This window comes from Homo sapiens, chromosome 14 (genome assembly GCF_000001405.40).
Source record: "Homo sapiens chromosome 14, GRCh38.p14 Primary Assembly".
NCBI classification, from domain to species: Eukaryota; Metazoa; Chordata; class Mammalia; order Primates; family Hominidae; genus Homo; species Homo sapiens.
In genome coordinates, this window is record NC_000014.9 from 23,326,554 (window position 1) to 23,338,299 (window position 11,746).

General features: G+C 44.1%; 1 annotated feature.

The window, feature by feature from the left end:
• Window positions 1,640–1,729: a silencer, noted in NCBI's record as "silent region_5608". NCBI's record gives its function as "represses an Ori minimal core promoter by ATAC-STARR-seq in GM12878 lymphoblastoid cells {active_cell/tissue: GM12878}" and the evidence as "EXISTENCE:reporter gene assay evidence [ECO:0000049][PMID:35858748]".

Genomic DNA, 11,746 nt, shown 5'->3' on the forward strand with positions numbered 1-11,746 from the left:
AGAAAATTAGCCTGACGAGGTGGCGGGTGCCTGTGGTCCCAGCTACTCGGGAGGCTGAGCCAGGAGAATGGCGTGAACCCAGGAGGTGGAGCTTGCAGTGAGCCAAGTTCACACCACTGCACTCCAGCCTGGGTGACAGAGTGAAACTGTCTCAAAATAAAAAAAGGAATAGCCGAATTACTGACCTAATGGCGCTTTTGTGTGCTCCTGATACAGCTTACGTGCAAATGAACTATCCATGCCTGCAGCCCTAGAGCTTTGGATTGGGGTCTGGGTAACCTTGTCTTTGGGGTCTCGCTATGTTGACCAAGCAATCTTCCCATCTTAGCCTCCCAAAGTATTGGGATTACAAGTGTGAACCACTGCACCCAGCTACCTTTTCTACCTCAAGGTGGGCCCAAGAAATGCAGAAGACAAAATACACTTAGCTAAGAGACAATCGGAAAGCTTGTTTTTCCAACCATGCAGTAACCATTTAATGTGTCCAGCTAACTTATATTAATTGGATCATTTATTTTTTTGAGATGGTCTTGCTTTGTCACCCAGGCTGGAGTGCAGTGGCTCACTGCAGCCTCAACCTCCCGGGCTCAAGTGATCCTCCCACCTCAGTGTCCTACATAGCTGTGACTATAGGTGCCTGCCTTCACACTTGGCTAATTTTTTGTAGAGACAGTTTTGCTGTGTTGCCCAGGCTGTCCCAAACTCCTGAGCTCAAGCAGTCCTCCTGGCTTGGCCTTCCTATAGGCGTGAGCCACAGCTCCTGGCCAGGATTAGTTTATTAGGACTTCACAACTGGCTTTCACTGTTTTCATATCTAAATTTTGTCTTGGGCATCCTAATTTCTCCATTTTTTATTCCAGTGTCAGATTGGTCTTAAAACTTGAACACTACATCACTAGCCAGGTTGAACCTTCAGACTTCATTACCTATAGAATTTCTTAGTATTTCAACCTTACTATTTTTTCATTTACTTCTCAGGATGTTTTGTTCACAATTGCCTCTGACCTGGATGCTCTTCAAAAATCATATGTTAAAGAAATGGCTCTGTGGCCGGGCGCAGTGGCTCACACCTGCAGTCTCAGCACTTTGGGAGGCAGAGGTGGGCGGATCACTTGAGGTCAGGAGTTTGAGACCAGCCTGGCCAACATGGTGAAATCCCGTCTCTACTAAAAATACAAAAATTAGCCAGGTGTGGTGGCATGCACCTGTAGTCCCAGCTACTCTGGAGGCTAAGGCAGGAGAATCGTTTGAACATAGGAGGTGGAGATTGAGGTGAGCTGAGACTCAGCCACTGCACTTCCAGCCTGGGTGACAGAGCGAGACTCTGTCTCAAAACAAACAAAACAAAAAACTCTGTTATATCTGAAGCCTTAACCCACCTCTCAAATTGCAGTATTTTCTAAAATCTCATGTCAGTGTTATCCACCACATATTTTAGGATTTGGTCATTTATTCTACTTTCTGTTATGGGTTAGGCATTTGAGGTCTATCTTTTCTCCTAACTAGATTCACCTAAAATAGTGCCGTGATCTCTGTGGCTTCTGCAGAGGCTGATTAGTGAGGGTCTGGATAGTGTTCAATATAAACTTTTTACTGGAAGAATGAAACAGCCTAAGTGACTTGTTGCTGTTAATGCTGTGATGGTCTCATCTGTCCACCAGGGGGCACTAAATGGCTGGCTCTAAAAGATCCCCATAAATTGTTGGGTATTGGAGGGTGAATCATGTTTTGACCCTTCTCTGGTTTAGTTTTCCATATTCAGTCAATTCTACCATATCTTGTCTGTTCTCTCTATTCCTACTTTCACTGCTTGAGTAACTCCCCATCATCATTGCAGGGGTCCTGGCAGATGTATTGGCTTCAAATTTTTTTTTGAAAAATAAAAATTCCTAAAAAAAGTACTTTAAAAGATAGGGTCTCGCTATGTTGGCCAAGTTGATCTTGAACTCTTGGCCTCAAGCAATCCTCCTGCCTCGGCCTCCCAAAGTGCTAGGTTTATAGGCGTAAGCTACCATGCTCAGCCTCCAAACTTCTTATTGCCAAAAAAAGCCCTCTATGATGCCACCAATAAGTACAAAGTCCAAACACAAGCATGGAACTACAACCTTTTTCAATCTGATCCTGATTACATTTCTCTTCCAGATCCTGCCCTACACCTGATGTACTATGCATTGTAGTTGTTATTTATTTTCATGTATCCCTCATGCTGTTCCCTCTAGCCTGCTATGCTCATTCCAACTCTTCTATGAAAATCACGCATATCCTTCCAAGTGTAAGCCAGGTACAACAGACATGAAGCCTTTCCTGATTTCCAAGTCAGAAGTAATCACTCCTGCAGTCAGGACAAACTGTTCCTATCCCTGTTTAATATTTACTTTGTGGTTTTATAATGAAACTAACTACATTTCTGTTTTCCCACTAGAATGCAAGCTTCTTCTTTTTTTTTTTTTTTTTTTTTTTTTTTTTTTTGAGACGGAGTCTCGCTCTGTCGCCCAGGCTGGCCTGCGGACTGCAGTGGCGGGATCTCGGCTCACTGCAAGCTCCGCTTCCCGGGTTCACGCCATTCTCCTGCCTCAGCCTCCCGAGTAGCTGGGACTACAGGCGCCCGCCACCGCGCCCGGCTAATTTTTTGTATTTTTAGTAGAGACGGGGTTTCACCTTGTTAGCCAGGATGGTCTCGATCTCCTGACCTCATGATCCACCCGCCTCGGCCTCCCAAAGTGCTGGGATTACAGGCGTGAGCCACCGCGCCCGGCCGAATGCAAGCTTCTTGAGGGCATCAATTGTGACTTTGTGTCTGCCTCACAGGGCCTGCCATTTAGTAGGTGCCCAAAAGTTGCTTATTCACCCTGGGCTTGCCTTTCCTGTCCTGGAGAAGGCGGTAACAACAATAGTGTTGCCTTTTACCTGGAGCTGGTAGTTTTCTTCCTCTTTTTTTTTTTTTTTCCTGAGACGGAGTTTCACTCTGTCGCCCAAGCTGGAGTGCAGTGGTGCCATCTCAGCTCACTGCAACCTCCACCTCCCAGGTTCAAGCAATTCTCCTGCCTCAGCCTCCTGAGTAGCTAGGATTACAGGCATGCGCCACATGCCTGGCTAATTTTTTGTATTTTTAGTAGAGACGGGGTTTCAACATGTTGGTCAGGCTGGTCTCGATCTCCTGATCTCGTGGTTAACCCACCTCGGCCTCCCAAAGTGCTGGGATTACAAGCGTGAGCCACCATGCCCGGCCTTTAGTTTTATTCTTATAAGAGTCAGACTATTTTACTTAAAAGAGACTAGGTTTAGAGGAAGAAGCATGGAAAGAAAGTTACTTTCCTCGGGCAAGCTTGGTTATTTTTGGTGGATGATTTCTGTCAGTCACTCCTGATCGGCTCTCTGTTAACTGAGGGATAGAAATGAGCCCAATCTCACTGGAGTTCCATGGGAAGAAAGAGACTGGGAGAGCCTGTGTATAAAACCTGTCTGGGGTGAGGGTCTGTGAGTCAGAGATCCTTAGAGGGCCTTTGGATGATGCAAAATAAACCGAGGCAAGCCAGTGCTTTTTAAGGTAGGATTTGCCCAATCCGACGTTGGCAATGGAGAAAAGAAACAGTTGGTGGGTTTTTACAATAATATTGCTGCTTTCCTTGTTTTTATGTATGGTTAGAATGAGCAGCCTTTCTCAAATTATGATCACATTTTATTATTATTATTATTTTTTGAGATGGAATCTTGCTCTGTCGCCTAGGCTGGAGTGCAGTGGCACGATCTCGGCTCACTGCAACCTCTGCCTCCTGGGTTCAAGCGATTTTCCTGCCTCAGCCTCCCGAGTAGCTGGAATTACAGGTGTGTGCCACCACGCCAGGCTAATTTTTGTATTTTTAGTACAGACGGGGTTTCACCATGGCTGGTCTTGAACTCCCGACCTCATGATCTGCCTGCCTCGGCCTCCCAAAGTGCTGGGATTACAGGCATGAGCCACTGCACCCGGCCTTATTATTATTTTTTAATGGAGACAAGGTCTTGCTCTGTTGCTCAGAATGAGCAACAAATTCATATCTCACTGAAACCTCAAACTCCTGGGCTTGAGCCATCCTTCCACCTTAGCCTCCCAAGTATCTGAGACCACAGGCACATACCACCATGCCTGGCTAATTTTTTGTTTTTTTATTATTTATTTATTTTTTTGAGATGGAGTCTTGCTCTGTCACCCAGGCTGGAGAGCAATGGAGCGATCTTGGCTCACTGCAACCTCAGTCTCCCGGGTTCCAGCAATTCTCCTGCCTCAGCCCCCCAAGTAGCTGGGACTACAGCCGTGCACCACCAAGCTCGTCTAATTTTTTTATTTTTTAGTAGAGATGGCGTTTCACCATATTGGCCAGGCTGGTCTTGAACTCCTGACCTCATGATCCGCCCGCCTCAGCCTCCCAAAGTGCTGGGATTACAGGCATGAGCCATCGCGCAGGGCCAGAATTTTATTATATTTTATTTTTTGTAAAGATGAGATCTTGCTATGTTGCCCAAGCTGGCCTCAAACTCCTGGGCTCAAGTGATCCTCCCACCTCAGCCTCACAAAGTGCTTGGATTACAGGCATAAGCCACCATGCCTGGCCCAGTATTCCTTTTTATGGCTGACTAGTATTTCATTGGATATAACACATTTTGTTTCCATCATCAACTGATGGACATTTGGGTTGTTTCTATTTTTTTGGCTATTACAAATAGTCTGGCTCCAAACAACTGTATAAGTTTTTGTATGAACATATGTTTTCATTTCTCTTGGGTATATACTTAAGAATGGAGTTGCTGGGTCATACTGTGCTATGGTTTGAGTGTTTGCACCTCCACCACAATCCATATGCTGAAATCCTAACCCCCAAAGTGATGATATTAGCAGTTCGGGACTTATGGGAGGTCATTAGTTCATAGGAGAAGCCCCAAGAGCTACCTTGCCCTTTTACATCACGTGAGGATACAGTGAGAAGGTACCATCTATGAACCAGGAAATGGGATCTCACCAGATATTAAATCTGCCAGAACCTTGATATTGGGCTTCCCAGTCCCCAGAACTGCAACAAATAAACTTCTGTTGCTTGTAAGCCACCCAGTCTACCTTATTTTGTTACAGCAGCCCAGATGAATGGACTAAGACCCATGGTAACTATCTTTAACCTTTTGAGGAACTGCCAGACTGTTTTCCAAAGCAGCTGCATCATTTTACATTTTCACCAGCAATGTATGAGGCTTCTGGTCTCTTTACATCCGCACCAAACTTGTTATTGTCAATCTCTTTGGCTATAGCCATCCTAGAGGGTATGAAGAGGTATCTCATCGTAGTTTTAATTTGCATTTGTCTGATGACTCAAAGATGTTTAGCATCTTTTCATGTGCTTATTTGCCATTTGTATGTATGTGTGTGTGTGTATATATATATATTCAGATTCTTTGCCTTTTTTCTTTTTTGAGACTGGGTCTCACTCTGTCCCTCAGGGTGGAGTGCGGTGGCCCAATCACGGCTATTCACAGCCTCAACCTCCCCAGGCTTAGGTGATCTTCCTACCTCAGCCTCTTGAGTAGCTGGGACTACAGGTGCGTGCCACCACGCCCGCCTAGTTTTTAATTTTTCTAGAAATGGGGTTTCGCCATGTTGCCCAGGCTGCTCTTGAACTCCTGTCTCAAGCAATCTGCCCGCCTCAGCCTCCCAAAGTGCTGGGGTTACGGGGATGAGCCACCAAGCCTGGTCCTCATTTTTAAAGTAGATTGTTTTCTTGCAAGACTTCTTTTTAATTTAAAAAATTTTTTTTTTTTTATTTTTAGAGATGAGGTGTTGCTATGTTGCTCAGGCTAGCGTACACAGGCATGGTACTCCAGTGCATGCCATAGTGCACTTCAGACTTGAACTCCTGGCATTAGGCAAACCCTCTGCCTCAGCCTCCCCAACAGCTGGGACTACAGGTATGCATCAGCATGCCCAGCCTTCCTTTGCTGAATACTGAATACTGAAGACTAGACTTATCAGATATATGATTTGCAAATATTTTCTTCCATTTTGTGGGTTCTTTGCTTGCTTTTTTTTTTTTTGAGATGGAGTCTCGCTGTTGCCCAGGCTGAAGTGCAGTGGCGCGATCTCGGCTCCCTGCAAGCTCTGCCCCCCAGGGTTCACGCCATTCTCCTGCCTCAGCCTCCCGAGTAGCTGGGACTACAGGCGCCCGCCACCTTGCCTGGCTAATTTTTTGTATTTTTAGTAGAGACGGGGTTTCACCGTGTTAGCCAGGATGGTTTCGATCTCCTGACCTCGTGATCTGCCCGCCTCGGCCTCCCAAAGTGCTGGGATTACAGGCGTGAGCCACCGCGCCCGGCCCAGTTCTTTGCTTTCTTGACAGCATCTTTTGAAGCACAAAAGTCATGAAGATGTGTCTATATTTTCTACTGAGAGTGTTATAGTTTTAGCTCTTATGTTTAGGTCTTTGATCCATTTTGAGTTTTTTTTAAAAATATTTATTTATTTATTGAGACAGAGTCTCACTCTGTCACCCAGGCTGGAGTGCAGTGGTGCTATCTCGGCTCACTGCAACCTCTGCCCACTGGATTCAAGCAATTCTCATGCCTCAGCCTCCTGAGTAGCTGGGATTACAGGTGCCTGCCACCACGCCCAGCTAATTTTTGTATTTTTAGTAGGGACAGGGTTTTACCATGTTGGCCAGGCTGGTCTCGAACTCCTGACCGCAAGTGATCTGCCCGCTTCAGCCTCCTGAAGTGCTGGATTACAGACATCCCGCCCTTGAATTTATTTTTGTTTATGGTATAAGACAGGGGTCCAGTTCTCTTCTTTTGCATGTGGATATCCAGTTGTCCCAGTATCATTTGTTAAAAAGACTTCTTTTCCCATTAAATTGTCTTGGTCCCTGTTTTGTAAATCAATTGACCAGTCTCTGGACTCTCAATTCTGTTCCATTGATTTTCGTGTTTGTCCTTATGGCAGTACCACACTGTCTATATTACTGTAGCTTTGTAATAAATTTTGAAATTTTAGGAGTGTGAGTCCGCCAATTTTGCTCTTTTTCAAGATTATTCAGCTAGTCTGGGTCTTTTGCATTTCCATGTCAATTTTAGAATCAGCTTATCAGTTTCTGAAAAAAGACAGCTGGGACTTTAATAGTGAATACACTGAATCTGTAGATCAATTTAGGGAGTATTGCCATCTTAATAATATATATGTATATATTATATTTATTTATTTAATTTTTTTGAGATGGAGTCTCGCTCTTGTCACCCAGGCTGGAGTGCAGTGGTGCAATCTTGACTCACTGCAACCTCTACCTCCTGGGTTCAAGCGATTCTCCTGCCTCAGCCTCCAGAGTAGCTGGGATTACAGGCATCCGCCACCACGCCTGGCTAATTTTTGTATTTTCAGTAGAGAAGGGGTTTCACCATGTTGGTCAGGCCGGTCTTGAACTCCTGACCTCAAGTGGCCTGCCTTGGCATCCCAAAGTGCTGGGATTACAGGCGTGATCCATCACACCTGGCTCATCTGAACAATATTAAGTCTTCGAATCTGTGAATGTCTCTTCATGTATTCAGGTCCTTAATTTCTTTCATTGGTGTCCCATAGTTTTCAGTGTACAAGTCTTGCACTTCTTTCATTAAATTTATTCCTAAGTATTTTGGGATTTTTTTCTATTGTAAATGGAATTGTTTTCTTAATTTCATTCTCAGATTTCTAAAATTGCTATTGTGTGGAAGTACAATTGAAGTTTTATATGATTATTTTTTCTTAATTTGTTTTTAGAGACAGAGTCTTTCTGTCACTGAGGCTGGAGTGTGGTGGCACATTCATAGCTCACCGCAGCTTTTAACTCCTGGGCTCAGGTGATCCTGCTACCTCAGTCTCCTGAGTAGCTGGGACTACAAGTGTACATACCCACACCTGGCTAATTAAAAAATTTTTTTTTGTAGAGATGCGGTCTTGCCATCTTGCCCAGGTTGGGCTCAAACTCCTGGTCTCAAGTGATCCTCCCACCTTGGTTTCCCAAAGTGCTGCGATTACAGGCATCAGCCAATTTGCCCAGCTATACTGATTTGTATCTTGCAAGTTCGGTAACCTTGCTGAACATATTTATTTTTAATAGTTTTTTATGGATTCCTTGGCATTCTCTCTAAATAAGATCATGTCATCTGCAAATATAAAGGGTCTTATTTCTTCCTTTCCATTCTGTGTGGTTTTATTTCATTTTCTTTCTTTATTACCTGGGCTAGAACCTCCAGTACAATGTTGAATAAAAGTGGCAAGAGCAGGCATCCCTATCTTATTGATCTTAAGGGAAAAGCTTTCAGCCTTTTGCTGAATGTGATGTTAGCTGTGGGTTTTTCATAGATGTCCTTTATCCATGGATGTTTGAAATAAACATCCTGTTTCCTGTTTTCCAAGCACACCATATCATGTCATACCTCTAGGCTTTACAAACATTTGCTGAAAGAATAAACAAATATTACTCAACTTTTGGAATATCTACCATATGTCACACATTGGTGTTTCTAAGTTGAATAAGACAAAGTTCCTGTCCTCAGGGAGCTGCAAACCAAAAATAAAATTTGAAGGCCTCCCATGTACATCTGAATGGACTTCTTCCTTGGCTAGGGCACTCTAAAATTTAACCTGAAAGACTGTTTCAGGCTATTATGGGAAGTGGGGGTCTGACATGCCTCATTATACCCCTCTGGCACTAACATCAATACAAACCTTAAGTCTGATAAGAAACATTTACAGGCCGGGCGTGGTGGCTCACGCCTGTAATCCCAGCACTTTGGGATGCCAAGGCGGGAGGATCACGAGGTCAAGAGATCGAGACCATCCCGGCCAACATGGTGAAACCCCGTCTCTACTAAAAATACAAAAATCAGCTGGGCATGGTGGCGCGCACCTGTAGTCCCAGCTACTCGGGAGCCTGAGGCAGGAGAATTGCTTGAATCCGGGAGGCGGAGGTTGCGGTGAGCCGAGATTGCACCACTGCACTCCAGCCTGCCAATAGAGCGAGACTCCGTCTCAAAAAAAAAAAAAAAAAAAAAAAAAAAAAAAAAGAAAGAAACATTTACAATCTATTCTCTCTGAAGCCTTCATCTTCATGATAAAACCTAGGTCTCCAAAACCCCTTATCTTACTCCAAACATTCCTTTCTACTGATAATTACTCTTTCAACCAATTGCCAATCAGAATGAATATGTTTAAATCTAACTATGGCCTGGAAGCCCCCGGCCCCGCCTTTGAGTTATCACACCCTTCCAGATCTAACCATTCTAAGTCTTATGCGTACTGATTGATGTATTATGTCTCCTTAAAATGTATAAAGCAAGCTGTACTTCGACCACTTTGGGCACGTGTCCTCAGGACCTCCTGAGGCTGTATCATGGGTGCATCCTTAACCCTGGCAAAATAAGCTTTCTGAATTGATTGAGACTTGTCTCAGATAATTTTTGGTTTACAAATTGGTGCCCATGAAGGGACTCTGAGTGGATGTAGCCCTGACCTTTGACAAATCTCCTATCGGTGCTCGGCACCAGCTTGAGCTATGTTTATGGCTCAAATCAACAGGACAATTTGCTGAGGCTTGGGAACTCCCCTTTCTCCAGAGAACCCCTGATCTCTCAAAATTTGGTTGAGATCTAAAGTTTATTTTGCTCTACGATTCCTTTTCTGGAGTTATACTTGCTTCCAACAAGGAAGGCAAGTTTTCCTGCTCCCATGATGTTGGAAGGCAGGTAACAGGTAACTCCTTTTTGGAGTTTTAGCTAATATCTAACAGGGAAGGCAAGTTTGAGTTTCTTCCTGCTTCTAGGAGGGTAGAGAGTAGTCTTCAACCTGAGACCCATTTTTAGGTAAGAAGCTGATTTGGTTTTCTTGCTTGCTTGCTTGCTTTTTTTTTGTCTTGAAAATTCTCCATAATGACTAAAGGTTAAAGTTGACAACCAGCTGGTCTTAATTTCTCCTTACCATTAGAGCGCTAAGTGATCATATTGTTGGTTTTTTTTGTTGTTGTCCCTTTCTCCCATTGGATTTGACTAACTCTACCTGTCTTGGTCAAATCCTAATGAGAATTCCAAATTATGGGGAACAAGGCCTCTGAATAAGTTAAAATTTCTCACAGCTGTAAAAAGAAAAAAAGAAACCATGGGCTTAGTTTCTGTGTTCGCTGTCTTAATTTTCATCCATCCTATTCCTCCTTCCCCTTTGCCATCTTCAGTACCAAGAAAAAATCTAGAGAAGGCTTCTAATGACTTGAATTCCTCAAATAACTCAAAACAAAGGTGCCACTCATCCCTTTTGGAGTGTTCTGTTTTCTTTTTGAAGTTTCAAGAGTTATAGGCAGATTCTTCTTCGGTCTAAAGTTCTGCTCTCCTGTATTGCATTACCTGATCTCTTTGGCTTTGGGGGATACCAAAGATTACTTTGCGCTGTGTGAGGATTTTACCTTGGTGTGTGTAATGGCGGACAAGTGCTACAAAGTTAGGGGTGGCTAAGAACAGTTTACAGAGAGTGGTCTTAGATTTTTTTTTTTCCTCCTGGGAAGATATTTAGGACCCTAATTCTAGTTTGGAGGTACATTTTAAATAGTGTCTTGTCCGGCTGGGTGCGGTGACTCATGCCTGTAATCCCAACACTTTGGGAGGCCGAGGTGGGTGGATCACGAGGTCAAGAGATCGAGACCATCCTGGCCAACACGGTGAAACCCCGTCTCTACTAAAAATACAAAAATTAGCTGGGCATGGTAGAGTGCACCTGTAGTCCCAGCTACTTGGGAGCCTGAGGCAGGAGAATTGCTTGAACCCAGGAGGCGGAGGTTGCAGTGAGCCGAGATTGTGCCATTGCACTCCAGCCTGGTGACAGTGACACTCTGTCTCAAAAAAAAAAAAAAGTGTCTTTTTCATTGCCTTTCCTCTTGAAATTAGTCTTGATTGGCTGCTCTGTGCATTTGTGGGAGGAAGTGAACTGTCTTTTTCATAGATAAATGAGAGACTGAGTTTCCACAGCTCCAAAGAGAAAGAGCATTTTGCTCTTCCCAGTCAAAAGGTGCCCCTGAGTGCCAGGGGGCTAAGTGGGAATGTTGGGGGGTTGAGCCCCCATGATGTGCAGTGGCCCTACAGGGAACTCCAAACAAAATTAGTTTAAAAAGGCTCATCCAGGAAGCACATATAGGAGCTGGTCACCCCATGCTATCAGCCCTCCCGGAGATGCTAGACCTCCAGAGTAAGAAACTGAGACACACTGTGTGTGACACACTGTGGAGTCCCACCCACAACCAGCACACTTTTCCCCACTCCACCAAACTCTAGGCCACAGCTTAGTTCCTCCTTTTAAGAAAAAATGTGGGAAATGAATTATCTAGGAATGAGGACAGACAAGGAGAATGACCCTTCTCAGGCACCCTGTTTGGTTTTATGACCCTCTACTTGCAAGTGGTTGTGTAAATGGAATGGCACACCAGGTTTTCTAATACTCCGGCTGGTTACACATCGGGTCTGCTCTTGTGCACATTTTAAACTGATGGGCAAATCACCTCAAAGAGAATTCAGAGCCTGAAGGTCAATCTGCAACTATAAACTTCCGAAGTTCTCTATTTCTTTGCTTTCTTTTCTGTCTGCTTTAAGTCTGCTGTTACTTTTCTACTGAGATAAAATCCACTGTTTGTATCCAACCATTTCTTTTGTTATTGTTTTTGCAAACCAATGAGTTTGTATTAATATCTCATGGCTAACATTCTGAAGTAAAAGC